The 21,711-nt window shown below is 38.2% G+C and overlaps 1 long non-coding RNA gene and 1 pseudogene across 3 annotated transcripts in view; one reads left to right on the top strand and one right to left on the bottom strand.

The window, feature by feature from the left end:
• LINC00836 (long intergenic non-protein coding RNA 836) overlaps positions 1-7,880 on the bottom strand; it is an 81,224-nt gene extending 73,344 nt beyond the window's left edge. For 2 of the 3 annotated variants that reach the window (NR_108067.1, NR_108069.1), the window contains exons 1-2: positions 7,793-7,880; positions 6,550-6,723 (exon numbers count right to left, since the gene is read on the bottom strand). This is a non-coding gene — a long non-coding RNA (long intergenic non-protein coding RNA 836). The remainder of the gene's footprint in view (positions 1-6,549; positions 6,724-7,792) is intronic. The other variant, NR_108068.1, reaches the window with a different exon arrangement.
• GPN3P1 (GPN-loop GTPase 3 pseudogene 1) lies at positions 11,488-12,515 on the top strand (annotated as a pseudogene).

Below are 21,711 nucleotides of genomic sequence, written 5' to 3'. Positions count from 1 at the left end.
AAGAGACAAAGAAGGTCATTATATAATGATAAAAATGTCAATTCAGCAAGGGAATATAACAATTTTAAATATATATTCACCCAACACTGTAGCACTCAGATATATAAAGCAATTATTATTAAAGAAAGAGATAGACCCCAGTACAATAATAGCTAGTAAAGTCAGCACCCCACTTTCACATTAGACAGATCATCCAGACAGAAAATCAAAAACGAAATATCAGACTTAATCTGCACTATAAACAAAACGGACCTAGAAGATTATTTACAGAACACTTAATCCAACAACTGCAGAAGCATACTTTCCAGCACATGGATCATTTTCAAGGATAGACCATATGTTAGGTCACAAAACAAGTCTTAACACATTAAAAAAATTGAAATAATATCAAGCATCTTCTCTGATCACAATGGAATAAAACTATAAATTAATAAGAGGAATTTTGGAATCTATACAAGCACATGGGAATTACACAATATGTTCCTGAATGATCACTGGGTCAATGAAGAGATTAAGAAATAAACTGAAAAATTTCTTGAAACAAAGGATAACCGAAACACAACATACTAAAACCTACGTATGCAGTGAAAGCAGTACTAAGAGGGAAGTTTGTAGCTATCAGTGCTTATGCGAAAAAATAAGAAAAACTTCAAATAAACAACCTAACGATGCATCTTAAAGAACTAGAAAAGCAACAGCAAACCAAAGTCAAAATTGGTAGAAGAGCAGAAATAATAAAGATTAGAACAGAAACAAATGAAATTGATATGAAAAATACAATAAAAATATCAATAAAACAAAAAGTTTGTTTTTTTGAAAAGATAAACAAAATTGAAAAAGCTTTAGCCAAACTAAGAAAAAAAGAGTGAAGACCCAAATAAATAAAATCAAAAATGAAAAAGACATTACAACCAGAGACACTAAACCAATACCACAGAAATTCAAAGGATCTTTCTTTCCTTGTTTGCAGAAGATATGATCTTACATTTGGAAAAACCTAAAGACTCCACCAAAAAGTATTAGAACTGATAAACAAATTCAGTATTATAGGATATAAAGTCAACATACAACAAACAGTAGCATTTCTATATACCAACAGCAAATAATCTGAAAAAAAATCAAGAAAATAGTCCCATTTACAATAGCTACAAATAAAATACCCTGGAATTAACTAACAAAAGAAGTGAAAGATCTCTACAATGAAAACTGCAAAAAATTGATGCAAAAAATTGAAGAGGACACACACACACAAAATGGAAAGATATTCCATGTTCATGGATTGGAAGAATCAAAATTGTTAAAATATCCATACTACCCAAAGCAATCTACAGATTCATTGCAATCCGTATCAAAATATCAATGACTTTCTCACAGAAATGGAAAAATCAATCTTCAAATCTATATAAAACCACAAAAGACCCAGAATAGCCAAAGCTGTCCTGCGCAAAAAGAACAAAACTGAGGAATTACATTACCTGATTCATATGATACTGTGGAGCTATAGTATCCAAAACAGCATGGCACTCACAAAAAAACAGATATAGAGGCCAGTGGAACAGAATGGAGGACTCAGAAACAAATCCAGACTTCTACAGTGAACTTATTGACAGTAAAGGTGCCAAAAATATACATGGGGGAAAAACAGTCTCTTCAATCAATGGAACTGGAAAAATTGAATATCCATATGCAGAAGAATGAAACTAGATCCCTATCTCTCACCATATACAAAAATGAAATCAAAATGGATTTAAGACTTAAATCTAAGGCCTAAAACTATGAAATGACTACAAGACAACATTGGGAAAATTCTGCGTTACATTGGAGTGGGCAAAGATTTCTAGAGTAATACCCCACAAGCACAGGCAACTAAAGCAAAAATGGACAAATGGGATCACATCAATTTAAAAAGCTTCTGCACAGCAGGGAAACAATAGACAAAATGAAGAGATAACACACAGAATGGGAGAAAATATTTGCAAACTACCCACCTGACAAGGGATTAATAAGCAGAACATATAAGGAGCTCAAACGATTCTATAGGAAAAAAAATCTAATAATCCAATTAAAAACTTGGCGAAAGATTTGAATAGACATTTCTCCAAAGAAGATATACAAATAGCAAACAAGTATATGACTAGGTGCTCAATATCATTAAGAATCAGAGAAATGCAAATCAAAACTACAATAAGATATTATCTCACTCCAGTTAAAATGACTTTTATCCAAATGATGGACAATAACAAATGCTGACAAAATTGTGGAGAAACGGAAACCCCAGTACAGTGTTTGCGGTAATGTAAATTAGAACAACCACTCTGGAGAACTGTTTGGTGGTTCCTCACAAAACTATAAATAGAGCTACCAGCATATGATCCAGCAATCTCACTGCTAGATATATATCCAAAAGAAAGAAAATCAGTATATACAAGAGATATCTGCACTCCCATGGTTATTGCAGCACTATCCACAATAGCCAAGATTTGGAAGCAACCTAAATGTTCATCAACAGAAGGATGGATAAAGAAAATGTGGTACACACATACAATATAGTACTATTCAGCCATAGAAAAGAATGAGAGCCAGTCATTTGCAACAACGTAGATAAAACTGGAGGTCATTATGTTAAGTAAAATAAGCCAGGCACAGAAAGACAAACTTTGCATGTTCTCACTTCTTTGTCGGTGTTAAAAATTAAAACAATCAAACTCATGGAGATAGAGTAAAAGGATGGTTGCCTGAGGCTGGGAAGAGTAGTTGGGGGATTGGGAGGGGGACGTGGGAATGAATAATGGATACAAAGAAATAGTGAGAAACAATGAATAAGATCTTGTATTTGCAGCACAAAAGAGTGACTATAGTCAAAATAGTTTAATTGTACATTTTAAATATCTAAAAGAGTATAATTGGATTGTTTGTAACACAAAGGATAAATGCTTGAGGTGATGGTTACCCCATTTGCCTTGATGTGATTATTACACACTGTTTGCCTGTATCAACATATCCCATATAGTCCAGAAATATGTACACCTACTATGTATCCACAAAAATTAAATGTTTAAAATTTAAAAATTAATAAAATGCATACAGTTGTAGAAAGAAATAAAAATGTATATCTTTGTATACATCATGATCATTTATATAGAAAATCATAAGAAAACTTCAAAAATCTACTAGAACGAATGACCTTGGCAAAGTCATAGGGTTCAATTTAATATAAGAACTATGTTGTGCTTCTATATACTGGTAATAATAATTGGAAAATAAAATGTGATCAACTACACTATTTAGCATATTATCTAAAAATATGAGCTATTTAAGAATAAAATATTTGCAAGATCTGTGCTTTAAAAACTTCAAAACATGTTGAAAGAAATTAAAGATAACATAAACAAGTGTAGATATATACTATGTTCATGGAACAAGAAACTCAATATGTTAAGATGTCAATTCTACTCAAATTGGTCTATAGGTTGAACGATATGCTAATCAAAATCCCAACGGTCTTCTGATGTAGAAATTGGCAAATTGACCCTAAAATTTATACAGAAATGCTAAGAACATAGAACATAGAATAGTCAAAATAATTTTGAGTTAAAAAAAGAATAAAAATTCAAGATATAACCATCTGATTTCAAGATGTCCTGTATGGTAACAGTGATACGGTTTGGACATGTGTCCCCACCAAATCTCATGTTGAATTGTAATCCCCAGTGTTGGAGATGGGGCCTAGTGGGAGATGACTGGATCTTGGGGAGAAGGTCTCATGAATGGTTTAGCACCATCCCCACTTGGTACTGTATAGTGAGTGAGTTCTCACAAGATCTGATTGTTTAAAAGTGTGTGGCACCTCCCCTCCTCCCTTCTTGCTCCTGCTCTGGCCGTGTAAGATGAGCCTGCTTCCCCTTGGCCTTCCATGATGATTTTCAGTTTCTTGAGGCCTCTCCAGTAGCAGAAGCCGCTATGCTTCCTGTACAGCCTGAAGAGTCATGAGCCAATTAAAGCTCTTTTCTTTATAAATAGCCAGTCTCAAGTATTTCTTTTGGCAGCCAACTGACTAATTAGAACTGACTAATGCAAACAGTAATCAAGATAATGCAGTATTTGCATACAGATAGACCTGTAGACCACAGGTCAACTCATTGTTTATAAAGGCAGCAAGGTAATTCAGTTAGGATGGTCTTTCCAATAAACAGTGCCCAAATAATTGAATAGACATTGATTAAATAAAAAGAACCTCAATGAGTTCCTCATGTCACATGCAAAAATTTACTCAGAATGGAGTATAGGTCTAAGTTTAAAAGCTGAAACCATAAAACTTCTAAAAGAAATTATAGACAATGATCTTCACAATTATGGGGTAGGCAAAGCTTTTCAGGCCACACAAAGGACAAACTACAAAAAATGGAGAAACTGAACTTCATCAAAATTTTAAATTCAGTTACATGAAAGAGACCAAAGAATATATTGTCCAAGCACCATGGTTCATGCCTGTAACTCTAACACTTCAGGAGGCTGAGGTGGGAGGAACCCTTGAGCTCCGGAGTTTGAGGCTGCAGTGAGCCATGATTGCACCACTGTACTCTAGCCTGGGTGAGAGAGCAAGACCCTGACTCAAAAAAAAAAAAAAAAGAAATAATATATAATATATAATATATAAAGAACTCTCACAACTCAATAATAAGACCAATTGAAACTACCTTTGTAAAAATTATAACAGTGAGAAAATTATGACGCTGAGAGAAATCTAACCTGATTCCATCTAGCTTCTAAACTCCAAGCTGCCCTTGTTCATTCCTGGTCATAGGCTGAACTAACTTTGGAAGGAACTTAGTTTATAGTTTAACTTTGAAACAAAGATAACAGCCCTTTCCCAAAATCAACTCCCATCTTGCCTGGGGACCAGACTGCCTTTATAGGAGTAATATATTAGCCACAAGATTAGAAATTATGTTCTGGAGTCATACAGCCAGAGGCCACAAGATGCTGAACCTCCCCAATTGCTCCTAGGGATAAGATCACTATTGTAAAACCTAAGACTGGTGCTCGAGATATTTTCCAGACCCTGCATTCTGATCCACCAGCTAGCACCCAGACCAGTAATCTGGCTCTACCAGTTCTGCAATCCCACCCAGGAACAGAAGACAACAAGAAAAACCCACTTCGATCCCCTGTGATTTCATCTCTGACCTAACCAATCAGCACTCTCCAGTCCCTGGCCTCCTGTCTGCCAAATTATCCTTTAAAAACCCCGGTCTCAAAATTTTCAGGGAGACTGATTTGAGTAGTAAAACTCCAGTCTCCCATTCAGGTGGCTCTGAGTGAATTAAGCCCTCTCTACTGCAATTCCTTTACCTGGGCATGCAAAGGATAAACTCCTTGATAAATCACCTTTACTTGGGCAGCAGGCAAGGAGAACCCATTGGACAGTTACAAAATGGCCCTATTTTTAAAAATGGGCATAAGATTTTGCAAACATTTCACAAAAAGAAATTCACGAATGGCCAATAAACACATGAAAAAACACTTAACATTACTAGTCATTAGGAAAATGTGATTAAAACAATGAGATACCACTTTATACCCATTTCAGTGGCTCTGGTTTGGAGCAACTAGAAATCTCAGGCATTACTGATGGAAATGTAAAGTGGTACAGTCAGTTTGGAAAACAGCTGATGGTTTCTTATAAAGTTAAAAATACACTTACTATATGACACAGCAATCCCACCCCCAGGCATTTACCCAAGAGAAATGAGAACATATGTCCACACAAATACGTGGACACTAATACCCATAGCCATCTGATTTTTAATGGGCTAAAACAGAAACAACCCAAATGCCCATGGATACACATATTGGAGTACGTTTATATAATAGAATACTACTCAGCCATGAAAAGCATGGACTAATGATGTACAGCAACACAGATTGAATCTCAAAAAACGTTCAACTGACTTTTTAAAAAGCCATCAGATAACTTCATTTATATGGAATTCTAGAAAAGGCAATACTAATCTACAATGACAGAAAGGAGACCAATGGCTGTCTATGACCAGGGCTGGGGAGAGTGGTTACTGCAAAGGAAACCAGAATTCTTTGGGGTGAGGTCAATTCTCCATGTCTTAATGTGGTTATGGTTACATAGGAGGATACATTTGTCAAATTTATTAAACTGAAAAATAAAGTTAATTTTTTTTTAAAGGGAGACTGTTTCTCCTGTTTTGTTTTCCCCTTCACTTTTCAGAATTAAGCTGCAGTTAGCAGACTTTCCTGGTTACTTTGAATCAGGAACTCCTCAAAAAGTCTGTTGATGAAGGGAGAATCAGAATTAGGCATTTAGAGCAGCTTGATTTGACAACTAAATGTAGAAATTCCTAATAAAAAAAAAAACCACTTGAAATGTTGCCACATATGGAATGGGCTGGAGAAGATATCACTGAGGCATCATTGTTGTAGGGTGTTCTTTCTAGGGAAGGGAAGGGAGGTGAAGGACCATGAGCTCATCATTATCAAGGATTCTGAAACTTCAGTTCATTTTTATTAATAAATTACCTTCATGTGGCCAATGAATTGCCGGTCTGATTGGAAACTCTTTCCTGCACCGAAGAAACTGCACCAATTAGCAATATTCATCTGCCAATTCAGCTCTGCAGGTTCAGGCTCATTTAACTTGACAAAAATAGCTTCTTTTTCTTGAGTAGGGGAAGTTTTTCTCTGCCTCCAGCCCTAGTGATGGGCAGAGATGGTGGTGGAATCTTATTACAGCCTTCCTGTCCCTGATGTTCTTTATCCAGCCGCAGCGCCACAGGCTGCCCGTTTTTTTTTTTTTTTTGGATACCCATTTCACGACCTTCTTTGGTTTCTTTATCACAAAAGTCACTGTATGTCTTTTAGCTCAAAGCCCTACTGCAGTATTCTCTGTTTGTCTTTTTCCCTTTACTCTTAATATCTTATTTGTTCCTTCCCTTTTCCCCTTCTTCCCTTACCCCCTTTCATTCTTCCCTCTTTTTTTCTTTAATTCTTCACCAGCCCCTAGCATATTCTAAACTATTTGCCCCTTTCATGATGTAATGATGAACCGACCCCCGCCATAGTAATCAGGTGGGTTTTTTTTTCTTTGCAGTTTCCTTATACTGAAGTGGTACAACCCCACCCCCATTACCATCACCTCCACTTCATTTTAAATGTTCTACTCTTGTCCAAGATTGACTGGCCAGTTCTTCCTACCATTTCAGCCCATCATAAATTCGTAAATATGGATTCATTTGCTGAGCCTAAGTTTTCTGCATGAAAGTAAATCCCTTTTGTGATACCTACAAAAGTCACAGAATCATCAAACACAGTTCAAAAGAGCAAATGATAAATATTCATTGCATCATAATGATCTTGATTCTAAAAAGCAAATTATTTGCTATATAATAGGAACAGGCAGGTTAAAAACAATAATTAGAGTGTGAAAGAGGTAAGAGAAAGTTCTGAGAGTGATATAAAGTTTCATTACATTGACTGAAGATGGTTTCATGGAAGTATATTATGTAAAAACTCATCAATAATACACTTTAAATATGGATGGTTTATTTACATCAATTATGACTCAATAAAGCTGTAAAGCAAAGGAAATAAATAGTAAAAAACAAAGACAAACAAAAACATCAATGACTTAGGAATAATTAGCCAAGATATTCTTAAATGTAGGCTAGTGTATATGTAATTTTAGACTTGCTATTTATCAGCTGTATCCTTATTCTATGAAAATCTCATTTTACCTTAAAAAAATTAAGATGCGAGGACATACCTCTGAATGTTCAGTGGTCCTGGGATGCTCTCATGCAAGCTCGTTTCACTGTGAGCTGATGAATCAGCATAAAAGCTGAATAGTATCTCATGATCACACTCTGTTCTGCCAATAAGACAGTTTATTTTAACTTGCTGTTCCCATATTTTGAAAGAGACTGACTGCTGCAGAAATATACAAATCAGAGATATTATCAATCCTGAATTCCCAGTAACTTTATTTTTATTCTACTTTGCTACACAGGCTACTGGAGTTAATGTCCTATAGGTACTTGAGGATGCTGGGCACTTGGCAGGTATGCATGTTGGTCAATTCATTTGACAACATTTGTTTGCAAGGAAAATTTTCCTTAATGCGTCTTCAAATAGAAAAGTCTATGAGTAATCAAATGTGAGTGACAGAAGGGTAACCTTATTCCAGTAATGTCCCCTTTAAAAATTTTCCCCCTGAGCAACCATAAAGAATAAAAATAGTGATAATTATCAGTTCTCTATTTTTGCTGTGGAAGCTGGGGAGTTATGAAACAAATATACAGCTCAGTTTATCAGGACATTAAAAAATGCATTATGCATGTTATTCTTACCCTAGTGACAAGTTATTTTTTTAACCATTGTTTTTTCTCTGACCTGATCTGATCCTTTTTCTCTTTCTTTCTTTCTTTTTCTTTCTTTTCTTTTCTTTCTTTCTTTCTTTTTCTTTCTTTCTTTCTCTCTCTCTTTCTTTCTTTCTTTCTTTCTTTCTTTCTTTCTTTCTTTCTTTCTTTCTTTCCTTCCCTCCTTCCTTTTTTCTTTCTTTCTCTCTCTCCCTTCCTTCCTTTTTCTTTCTCTCTCTCTCCCTCTCTCTCTTTCCCTTTCTCTTTCTTTCCTTCCTTCCTTCTCTTTCTTTCTTTCTTTCTTTCTTTCTTTCTTTCTTTCTTTCTTTCTTTCTTTCTTTCTTTCTTTCTTCCCTTCTTTCTTTCTATCTTTTGTATCACAGAAAGCTTCCTCCAATCCTTTTTCTAACAAGGTAGGGTGCAAACAAAGGAATAACAAACTTCCTTTAGATATGAGAAATGTGGATCTTTTAAAGTGTTATTTTTGAGAGTCTTAAGGCAACATTAGGATAATAACATAACATGAAAACTGTGGAGATAAATTTTGATCTCATGTGAGCCCCAGGGTGGCTTTTATTTACAAATCATGTTTACTTCTCAGAGGGGTGGGCAGACATAAGCCGGTGTTTTAGAGAGTCTGAGGTGAAAGCTTTTCTCTCCCCAACAATGGCATATTTGTAGTAGAATTTTCTCATAAGAGTCTTGGTGAACAAAAATACACAGGGATAGAAGGTGGAATGGAAGGAAGTCCATTTCAGAAGGAAATAATCCCAACATAACTTTCAAGATATAACAATAGGTTATTAACTGGTGGATTTGGCAGGGAAAATTCTGCTACATCATTTTTTCTTTTTCTTCTTCTTCCTTTCTTTTTAAATTTATTTTATTTTTTTATTTTTAGAGACAGAGCCTAGCTCTGTTGCCCAGGCTGCAGTGTAGTAGCACAATCATAGCTCACTGCAGCCTTCGACTCCTGGGTTCTAGAGATCCTCCTGCTTCACCCTCCCAAGAGCTGGGACTGTAGGTGTGCACCACCATGCTCAGCTAATTTTTTATTTTTTGTACAGACAGAGATCAGCCTCTATTGCCCAGGATGATCTTAAACACCTGGCTTCAAGTAATCGTCCCACCTCAGCCTCCCTAAGTGCTGGGATTATGGACATGAGCTACTGTGTCCAGCATGAAATCATTTATGATGTGTTGACCATTTTTCAACTGGATATGAAGGCAGTATAGACACACAACTGTGAATTTATCAAGACCTGTGCTTTGTTTACTTAGTTTCTTTATATAGGAATTTTCAAACAAATGTAAATTGGAGGCATGTACACTGCAGTAGGTAATGGCTGTATCAGTCAACACTTAGCCTTAGTTGTCACCACAATGTTTTACCCCAGTACCATGCCTATCCTCGTGGGCCAAAAACACAGATAGAGTCTAGAAGAATGCACAAAGCAGCTTTTCACCAAGGGTTAAGTTTCCATTCTACTTGCTAACCCACAGAGAACGCATAGAAGGTGGAGATTAGAGAGTGACTTCTACACTCCATTCAGCAGATTCCAGGTTTCTCGATGGCCATGAAGAGTCTTCGATCTAGAGCCTCAAGGTTACTAAATTGCCACTTTTCAAGGTTCCTATTCTTGCTTTCTCCTCCATGCTGCAGTCTTTAATTCCTTTGGTCTTCCCAGTTTTTCCCAGATTCTGCCCATTTGGTCTCTGGAAGGGGTTGTCAGTCACTCAGCTCCATGGGTTTTAATGCTAGGTGGAGTCATAGTGAAGTTTCTATAACATAATCAGACTTATTATTCCAAGGCCAAGACTGATCTACTTTTATCAGTTAGAACTCCTTAGATTGCAAGTGACAGAAAGCCCAAGCCAAGGGACTTGGGTCAAGTTTGTCCTCAAGCACTCGCTTGTCCTTTCAGCTTCTAGTATGTCCTTGCCCTCATCTACTCAGGCTTTCCTACCAATTGCTGGCTGGCTATTCTATAGTGACTTCAGGTTCAACATCAGACACAGAGACAACAGCCTTGCACAGACTTCTCCACCAGCAACATAGTTTTGTAAAAATCTAACCCCTATAACAAATCCTTTAATCTATATTACTTCTAGTGGTTCTACTTCGCTGACTAATAATATGCCTTCACATAATACATTCCAAGGTCTTGGAAAAGTCTATGCACATTGCATTCGTCTGTTCTTGCACTGCCATAAAGAAATACCTGAGACTGAGTAATTTATAAAGAAAAGATGTTTAATTGACTCACAGTTCTGTAGGTTATACAGGAAGTATGGCAGCATCTGCTTCTTGGGAGGCCTTAGGAAACTTACGATTATGGCAGAAGGTGAAGGGGAAGCAGGCACATCTTACATGGCCAGAGCAGGAGCAAGAAGAGGTGGAGTGGCAGGCTAGGCAGGTGACACAGAATTTTAAACAACCAGATCTTGTGAGAACTCTGTCATGAGAACAGCACCCAAGGGATGGTGCCAAACCATATATGAAGGATCCACCCCCATGATCCAGTCACCTTCCACCAGGCCCCACCTCCAACACTGGGGATTATAGGGACACAAGATTTGGTGGGGACACAGATACAAACCATATCACACATATACTCTGTCTGCCACTCTCTTGATTAAAAATTGCAACCTAGTTTAGACAGTCGGTCTTAGTAATAGTGAGTATTCTCTTTTTATATTTTATTGAAATCATTAGACAAATAATTATAAAGCTTGAGTCACTATTTAATATGTCATGAGCATTATTCATGCCTTTGCACAGTCTTTATAACCATAATTTTAAAAAGGCTTGACAATATTTGAGTGGATGCTCTGTAATTTCATTTTTCACTTTTCTATTGTTGGCGCTGTAGGTTTTTTCCAATACTTTACGGTTATGAATAATGATCCGAGGTGCTGCTTCATGCATATAATTTTTCCATATTTTTGGAACATTTGGTTAGTCTATAATTTCATAAATAGAGCATAAAGGTGTGTAAAAGGTATGAACCTTTGTATTGCTTTTGATTCATATTGTTTAATTGCTTTCAAAAGGACTAGGACAATTACAATCCCATTAGTAATTGGTAATACCCTTGCCAGCTTTGATTGTCCAGCTTGGACTGAGTTGTACATTCACCTGACTGTGATGAAGCAGCTGGTCCTGCAGCTCGAGCAGTGGAGTTTCCGAGTCTATGGAGTTTTTCTTGTTGATCCTCAGTTCATGGTGGAGTCATTCAAGTGTATTTCTGGCATCTTGGCAGTCCTGAGTGCCATGCTCTCTCTATAAATTCCGCAAGTTAACATCGTGATCAAAATGTAGCTGCAGAGTAAAAAAGCTAAAAAGGAAACTGTAAGTTTCTAGATCTAGACATGGATTCCTTATTTGATGATTCTACAAGTGGCTTAAGAAGCAAAGAATTCAAAAAAGTAACTAAAGTTGTATGTGGGCTGATGACTGCAGCATAGTTCTCTTCTTACCTTATGATCAGTCAGATGAAGAAAGTATGAACATTGTATTATAGCATATTGATTTAGCCATTCAATGTGGAGAAGATTCAACATTTAAATAACCAAAGGAATATGAAAATGAATCTTCTTCTATGTTTGAGGAATATTTTCAAGAACACCAGGATGAATGAAGAGTTTACTAAGGAGTAACTGTCTATACGTGAAGAGCTTGTGGCCAAACCGGCAGAATATTCTTCTCTTCGAAGAATGCAGTAGTAGAAAGCTGCATATTCTAATGAAAAAAAAGGTACATGTTTTTTTTTTTTTTTTATCAGCAGCATGCCTGAATCAAGTTTTGAATTATTCTGAAACTGCTGCTGCTTCACGTGGAAACTTGTAGTATTATTTTGATCGTATCAATTTAAATTTAAAAGTCAAAATTGAAATGAATGCACATAGAATTGTATATAAATTAGCACCTCTGCAACAGTTAATAAGGCTAATACAATCTCATTTTTACTGTTTGTATTGTTTTTGAGGTGCAGGAATTATTGTAACAAAATATACATGTCTATCCAGAGGGAAATATCTGGAAGGATATAGGTAAGACCACTGCCCATCTATATCTTACCATTTCCCTACATTGAAAATGTATTATTTATATAATTAAAAAATTTAAAAGGGAATATAATTTTAAGGTCTTTCCTGATTTAACAGAAAAAAGTACCTATTCAATTTAAAAGGCATTCTACATTGCTCATTTTATGCTAATATCTATTTTCTGCTTTACAATATCTAGAAAGTATCAATATCTTTACTGATCCAGAGTACACCTGAAATATTGGAAAGACACTTTCCCTGGACATTAATTTCTGAGTGGTGAATGCAATCTGCCAAAAATATAAGGATTTGAGCACATATTTTCTAATTAAACTAGGATACTTATTGGATCGTTTTTGTAATTGGAAAGGTTAAGAGAATCATCAGTGGAGAGAATGCGGAGGCTATAAAAACACTGCAATTAATAACTTATCTGTTTAAATTTTAGGTAATAGCACTTTTGCTCTTCATAATAGCATCTTCAGGGAAAGCATATTGAATTCAATCTGCTGTGTGAAATATTTTCAGTTAGAGAAGGTACAGTATGTATATATAAATGAATGTACAGACTGCTGATGGTTTATTTTGGATCTGTAGCAGCCTTGGAAATAGAACTGAGTTTTATATAGATCTTTCCGAGTCAGGGTAGCCCTAAGCTCTTTATAGAGCAGTAATTTTGGCTGTGTCTAAATAAGACCCATCCTTACAGCTGAAAGATAAAAAAAATTCAGATAATGAACCATTTAATTTTTTCTGTATAATGTCACATAAATGGTTTGATTTGGGGCTTCCAAAACTGCACGGCTATTTTGGCTTTATGGATGCATCTTTTGCAAGTCTCAATGCCCTGTAAAAGTGGGAAGGCTGTCAGAAATATCTTTAAGTAGGCCGGGTGTGGTGGCTCATGCTTGTAATCCCAGCACTTTGAGAGGCGAGGGTGGGAGGATCACTGGAGTCCAGGAGTTTGAGACCAGCCCGGGCAACATAGCAAGACCTCACCTCTAAAAATAAAAACAAAATTAACCATGTGTGGTGGTGCACACCTGTAGTCCCAACTATTCAGGAGACTGAGGTGGGAGGATCACTTGAGCCAAGGACTTCAAGGCTGCAGTGAGCTATCCAGCCTCGGTGACAGAGCAAGTTCTTATCTCAAAAAACAAAAAAACAAAAAGAATGTCCTAGGTAGCCTACTGGGTAGGGGATGGGAATGCTTTTCCTGGCAACTAATCATGGAATCAGCATGGCACTAGTGAGTTCAAGATGCTGCCCAGGAATACAAGGACAGCTCTGTCTCAAAAGGAGAAACTCTAGCCTGGCCATGGTGGACGAACTACAGTGAGAAGTAATTGGAGTAGTCAGTATTGCTGATGATTTCCTTGCTTGCCCTCAGACAGGACCCATCAGAGCCCCTCAGTTGCCTGGTAGGTAAATGTATATATGTGACGCTTCCTACCTTATGTTCAGGAGTAAGTTTAGCACATGTATCTACAAAGAGTAGCCTTTTATATCCTGAACCACACATTTTGCTATATTAATAGCAATGCCTCACATTTGTATATATTTTCTGAGTTTCTCAAACCCATTTATATTTCCTTGGATTATCCATACAATAACATCTCAGCCATTAGCTGCAAGTCTTCTCAGCTCCACCTCTATGTACCTCAGTCTTCATCTTCTCCCTTCTAACCTTCTAGCCGAAATCTTTATTCTTGCTTGTACAGCTTCAATTGCCACTGAACTGGTTGTCCTACTTATTATACTGCCTGATGCTATGACAACCTCTTCTCCATATAACAGCTTGAGAAAGCTTTAAAAATTATATCTCATGACATATTTCTGCTTGCTTAAATCCTTTGTTGCTTTCTAAATGGCTTGGGAAAAATCCAACCTCCTTACTGTGGCACGAAGGCTCTGCCTGATCTGGCTCCTTCTGACTTACCCAGCCCATCCTTCTCTTTGTCTCACCCATGGCCACATCGGCCTTTTCTAAGTTCCTTGAGTGTAACCCAAAACTGTCTTCCTTGAGGATCCTTGCACCTGCTGATGTGTCTGCCTGAAAACCTCTTTGTATAGCTAAATCCTTCTCATCCTTCAGGCTTTAGCTCAAGTATCTCAGCCTTCAAGAATCCTTCCTCTACAAATGGGACTTCATGAAGAATGTGGGACTCAGATAAGGATGTACAACTATGAAAGCATGGAGCCTGGACAGAACCTAGTTCTTCCAACTCCTCATCCATGACGCCTGCCATGATGTATGCCAACCTGTGATTTAGGTGCATTTCTTCTGTCATGAACTAGGGAGATGATAAATTATAGGGACAATGTCTTTTATGTTTGTTTGCTTGCATTATTTTGCAGGGAAAATGGGGAGAGTATTGCAGATGTTAAATAATTTCTGAGTGGTTGAGACTGATTCTGGCAGGAAGGATTTTGACCATCTGAGAACCCACACAGATGTGTGCTTACCAGCTTCCACAGAAACATGTGCACGTGAGTCCCTTTTTAAAGTGTAGAGAGACAGCTCTCCTTGCTCTCTATTTGTCTGAAAGGACATGGAGATTTCCATTTAAAAAAATACCAGAAAACATCTCATTATGAGTTCTTTAAAATGAAATGGAAGTATATTTTAGGCCCAGTTTCTGCCCTTCTAAGTCATATTTTCTCTAAACTATCAGAATAAACAGGTCATTTTTCCTCTGGACTATTTTCTTCATCTAAGCATTGTCATGCAAATACAATTTTGGCATCTATTTGTGACTCATTCTCACCTTTTTAACCTAGAGGCTCGCCCCCAATGTCAGCTTGTCTCCTCTGAGTTATTCATCCAGGTTTTGAGCATATTGAACACATATGGCATGTGTCACCTTGGACAGGCAAAACCAAGGAAGGATAATAAACAAACAAACATTACTTTTCTTAACCATTAATAAGTGATATGCATTTGCATTTCAGATTTTCATGGTCTTAGATTTTAGAATAATTGAATCACACAATAGAAAAAAAATTAAAAGATTGTTTTGCCCCATAATCTCATAGATACATTAAGTCTCCTTGGCTGTGTCTCCACCAGGCGCCTCATTCAGCCTCTCTTTTAAGATGTCCAGCAATGGGAACTGACTCTCTCCTGGGACTGCACCATCTTTGCAGAGCATTAACTGTTACAAATTTAAGTCAAGCCTAAATTTGGGGGTGTTAGTTTGATCAGGGAATAGCATATGTTTTCATTTAGGTCATCAGTTGAACACTAAAAAGCCAAGAACAGTGCACTGTGGTCAACTTCTAGAGAACTCTAGAGCCATTAATCAAGACATGCTATATCCTAAAAATCTGGCCACAGTGCTCATTGAGGAGACCATGGAAGCCTTTCGCAATGTCTTACAGAGGTCAAGACATGCTGTGTATTCCATGAACATTCCTTGGTCTAAGAAGCTTTGGTAACCTCATGTTGCCCTCTGGCATCCTGATAATAGGCAACGTTATTAAGTAAGCTCAACTCCAGGTAAAGATTTGAGAAAGATTTATATATTAATACATTAAAACTCCTTCTCCCATTGCATAATTTTCAAAATCTCCTTAAAGCTCATCCACCTCTCACTTCCATGATAATACATACCATGATAACCAGTGGAAGAACCTGATAATTTGATTTTATTGCCAATTGAGAGCTGTTCATCTCTGCACACACCACCTGATAATGGTATCTTCCTTTTTCCCTTGGAATCTTGGTATTTGTGGATGCACAGTACCTCTCCAATAGCACTAGAAAAATCACCAGGTGAATCTAAAACTCTCATTGTCTTCCCACTAAGGATACTATGTCTATGTGTCTTCTCAAAATCTAGTATTCACAATCAAAACAAATTCTACAATTACGTAAATTCTATATCTTCAGTTTGGAAAAACCTAAAGGATCCCAGATGTACACAGGTTATAAAAGAAGGAATGTGGATGCTCACTGGATGGCCCCAGACCTAGGTAGGGAAGTAGAGGATTGTAGAGTTCTGAAAAGAACACAGGCCAGGGAAACAAAGAGAAGAAAAATATGGACCAGGAAAGATTGGCGATGACTTTAAGCTGCTTAAATATAGCTCACCTCAATTCTGTTGGACTATCCCTCATTTTAGCATACTATAATGATGTGTACATTTGTTTGTAACTGCATCAAAAAGGAAATGAGATTAGTCTGGCATGACTTACTTGTTCTAACTGAACCCATGCTGGCTGCTAATGATTGCTTTCTTTTTAAATGCTCCCAAGCCATCTGTTTAATAATCTATTCTAGAATTTTGCCTGAGAAGAATCTCAACGCTAGTGAAGTGAAAAGATCCCCAGGCAAAGTCCAGGAGACCCAGGTTCTAGCTGTGCTCTGTCATTAACCAGCTGCTAGGCAAACACCTTAGTCGAGCTCATCCTGTTTCACCTCAAAAATGAGTGGGTCAGAATAGATGATCTTCATTACTCCTTCCAGATGTGAATCTACGATTCCTTCATTTCATTCGTCTGTAGTTTTTGGAGTCTACTATTTCCTGTGATTAGAAAATCAGGACCTTAACCATTTATAGTCTTTGAATGTTTCTGCTCTGTGTCTTCTAGATCCTGCTCTGCCACTAATTTGTTAATTAACTCTGGAGCAGGTTGTTTAAATTCCATGGGTGTCAGTTACTTCACTTCACTTTAAAAATGAAGGAGTTTAAATCAGATGATACCTAAATTTCTGAATCTGAGTCTCTAATGACCTAGCTATATTGGATATTGTTTCTGTGATCACATTCTATACATTCTTAGAATAACCAAGTGTTGTGTGTTTGATTCTTGAGCATAGAAACATAGACTTATCAGTCTAAGTTGGGCAGAAAGGTTAGCCATTATCAGTCAAACAATTTATTGAATAATATTTAGAACGGCCAGTTACTTTCCTTCTTGACTTAAATTTAAATTATCTTCTTATATTTTTTCTTTATTTTTTTTTATAGAGATGAGGTCTCACTATGTTGTCCAGGCTGGTCTCTAATTCCCAGCCTCAAATGATCCTCAAGACTCAGCCTCCCACAGTCCTGGGATTATAGGCATGAGCCACTGCACCTGAACTAAATAACCTTTTATTTCTGATTCATGCCGAATTTGTAAAGGCTCCTGCCTCTTTAACAGCTAAGTCTGCTGGTTGGCCCATTTGCACTGAGGAAGGGCACTATGCTCATCTCACAGAATGCCACCAAAGCTCCAAGGTTGCAGAAAGAGGAATCTTGCAAATTACTCTGTTTCTTATTTCACAGGTGATGAATGCTTTGGGTTGTGGAGCTATTTTATTCTGGCCTGATGGTGTTGCATGACTCAGAATAGATGATTCCCACAGGAAGGTCTGATTTTTATCCTTTGACTGAAATCTAAAAATAGAGCCTTCAATTCATCCTGGACTCTCAGCTGTCATGCCGAATAAACCTGGACACTTGGCATGATTGCTTGTAGCTTTAAAAGAATCACCATGTTCTGTAGTTTAAAATAAAGAACAAACACATATAAGGTATGAACCTGGAATGTTGTTTATGTTGTTTCATTTGCTGTTGCCTTTGTGCTGGGGGAATTATGCAGCTGAAGGCAGTTTGCCTTTCAAATTCATTTGAGTCCAATTCGTTTCAAGGTGACCATAATCAGGTTTGGCCAGGAAAAGAGATCCTCTGTCTAATGACATAGTCTTGTTAAGTCTACCTTCTTAGTAATAATAAAGGCTGATGGAACTTTATGCTTTACATAGTCTCATTTTATGTGGACGATAACCATCCGTTACCATTCTCACTTCAGGAATAACCCAGTTGGGGTTTAGTGAGTGCTTTGCTTAAAGTCTCACGACTATGGAGTAGATGAGCTAGAACTGGAATCCAGGATTTATATTATCCAGGATTTATATTATACTTCATGTCTTTCCACTGCCAGTATGTTCCTGGACCAAATTGAGGGTGGGGCTGCTTATTCTCATGGCCCAATAACAAGATGCAGATGATCTGGGAAAGAAGGGAGTTTATTTCCATACCTGTGTACAAGGAGAAGGCCCGGAAAATGTCACCAGACCAACTCAAAATTACGAAGTTTTCCAGAGCTTATATACCTTCTAAGCTATATGTCTATGTGTAAGTTTGCATTCATCTAAAGACATAAGTGATTAACTTCTTCTAATCTATAACTAATATCCGAGTTCTGAAGACCTTCCTCTGGAGCCTCAGTACATTTACTTAATCTAAATGGGTCCAGGTGCTGGGGTGATTACCCTTATCTTGTCTCCTGCTAAATCACGGAGGTCTGGGGAGTTCCTTCAGACCCCCAATAAACTTGTTTGTGGCGGTCTGAGGAGTTTCTTTAGACCCCCAATAAAACTTGTTTAATTCTAAACGATTCCTGTTAAGAATTCCCTTATTATCATTTCATACTTCAAGGCCCTGGAATGGCCTAGGCAAAACTCTTGGTGGGTTTTTATTACATTCTAGCTTTTGTATAAGGGCACTGGCTCTATCTGCTTTTAATATTTAACTTAACCACTCAGTCAGTGCTGAAACAGCTGTTATGGAGGCCTGGGTTAGTGAGACCTGGCCTGCCACAAGTACACAATGCACCATTCCCCTTAACACAAACACAGACAAACCCCACAAAATATTAGGCAAAGTCAGTGCTACCTTCTCCATGAGCCCTGCCCAGGTGTTCAAGTGCACATAGACCCACGGATGGTCCCTGTCTCTGAGTATCTCTTGTAGCTAATGTTTGTGCCACATAATTGAGGCCCCTTCCTTAGCTCTTTGTAGTGTTCTCATAATCATATGTCCAGGCCAGAATGTCTATTTATTTTATAAAAACCTTTCTCTGCTGGCTGCGGTGACTCGCACCTATAATCCCAGCACTTTGGGAGGCTGAGGCGGGTGGATCACGAGGTCAAGAGATCGAGACTATCCTGGCCAACATGGTGAAACCCTGTCTCTACTAAAAATACGAAAATTAGCTGGGTGTGGTGGTGGGAGCCTGCAGTCCAAGCTACTCGGGTGCCTGAGGCAGGAGAACAACTTGAACCCGGGAGGCGGAAGTTGTAGTGAGCTGGGATCGTGCCACTGCACTCTAGACTGGCGATAGAGTGAGACTCCGTCTCAAAAAAAGAAGAAAAAACAAAAAACAAAAAACAAAAACCTTTCTCCTCACTGTGCACAGAGCTGGGTCCATAGTAGATTCACTAGTTTAGTTCAGGAAAATAAGCTTTCAGGATAGAGAGGAAGGATAGCCCCTTTCCTGGAATTAAATGAGACACCTCTAGCACTTAGCCTACTTCAGAGCCCTCTTCTGGTCATGTGGATAGATCACTGTGTGCAACTTCAATTAGTCACACATAGATTCACCACATTTCAGCAGCAGAAAGAGAAAAAAGTTATTATACCTAAATTAAGTCCTTTGAGACCCTGGTTGATAAAATTCTTAAATATTATACTGGAAAATATTTCCCAGCGTCTCTCAACTAATTCATTACAATCATTAGGAAGTAAAATTGCAATAGCAACTAGTTTATTTTGACTGAATCAGTTGGTGAATTCAGTCATGCAATCCATAATCATGGTTAATTAAATTTTAAAATATTCAAATTGGGTTTATATGCTCCTGTGGCCAATGCTTACTTTAAGTCTCCCTTTGTTCAGTTCCAACTTCCGCTCTGGGAAGTTTCTAGTAATAGGCACAGAGCTGTAACAGAGCATGCTGCAGACATCTCATTAGGTCTTAGACGGACCTGCTGAGCCAAATAGGAACCCAGGTTATTACACTTCTTTTAAGAACTGGGGCCAGGTGTGGTGGCTCACGCTTGTAATCCCAACACTTTGGGAGGCTGAAGCGGGTGGATCACTTGAGTTTAGGAGTTGGAGACCAGCCTGACCAATATGGTGAAACCCTTTCTCTACTAAAAATACACAAATTAACTGGGCATGGTGTTGGGTGCCTGTAGTCCCAGCTACTCGGGAGGCTGAGGCAGGAGAATGGCGTGAACCCGGGAGGCGGAGCTTGCAGTGAGCCGAGATCGAGCACTCCAGCCTGGGCGAAAGAACGAGACTCCGTCTCAAAAAAAAAAAAAAAAAAAAAAAGAAAGAAAGAAAGAAAGAAAGAAATAGGCTGGATAGGGGGAGCATACAGAACCTGCAGTTTTGTTCACAGAAGCAGATTAATTGTGAGAGCCATTATGCCCATAATATGCCACTGGTTAGTCCTAATATTCCCTTGTCGGAGGTTCTGAGCATGACGTTGAAAATCGTCTTGGTGGACGCCGGCCATTTCTCCAAACCTGCACCTTCATTTTACCTACTTTGAATCTATGCCAGTTATCAGTGCCTCATCTCCAAATCCACTCTTCTTTGTCCTACTTTGTGCTACTGGAGATGGACCCTGGAATATGTCTCCTCGGCCAGTGCAACTGGTCCTTGATAGAGGTGAGAGAGTGGGAGAGATATTAAAAGAGGACAGGGCTTGTTTTTCCCTTTCTGGTACCTTATTTTTCTTGCTCTTTCGGCATAGCCATGGCTGCCAGCAGGTGGCTTCCTTGTTTAGGAATTTCACTGATTAGAAGTAAGAGACAGCTGAACCTTCGTGGGGCCATTCATACAAGTCCCTATTTAGGGAACAAAGCGGGCAGCTTTCCTGCCAGTGGGGCTAGGGATACTGCAACCCAAGGTGGTAAGCCCCAATAGCACCCACCATGGGCAGTTTCCTGCCAGCCCGTCCTGGCCTGTGGCATCTCAGCAAACTTCTCCATCCAGTGGGCCATCGATCCGTTGTCTCCAACAAAGTAAGTCTCAGCCATGGAGTGGAGCTTTTTCCAAGTTTGTTCCTTCCTCGAGCACTCTTTCAGCCCCTTCGTGGAGTGGTTGTACTCTAGAGATGCTATTTCTGTTTTTGTTTTTCATTTTTTTGTTTTTAGATGGAGTCTCATTCACTCTATAGCTAAGGCTGGAGTGCAGTAGTGTGATCTCAGCTTACTGCAACCTCCACCTCCCCAGTTCAAACGATTCTCCTGCTTCAGCCTCCTAAGTAGCTGAAGGCATGCACTACCATGCCCAGCTAATGTTTGTATTTTTTAGTAGAGATGGGGTTTCACCATGTTGGCCAGGCTGGTCTTGAACCCCTGACCTCAGATGATCCACCCACCTCGGCCTCCCGAAGTGCTGGGATTAGAGGAGTGAGCCACAGTGCCCGGCCTATTTCTGTATATTAAGAGTTATCTTTACCTCTCTTAGAAGGTAATCCTTCATTAGTAGTTAAT

Source organism: Homo sapiens, chromosome 10 (genome assembly GCF_000001405.40).
Source record: "Homo sapiens chromosome 10, GRCh38.p14 Primary Assembly".
Classification (NCBI taxonomy): Eukaryota; Metazoa; Chordata; class Mammalia; order Primates; family Hominidae; genus Homo; species Homo sapiens.
Note: the sequence above shows the minus strand (reverse complement) of the source record. Positions and strands in the feature narration are given on the sequence as shown.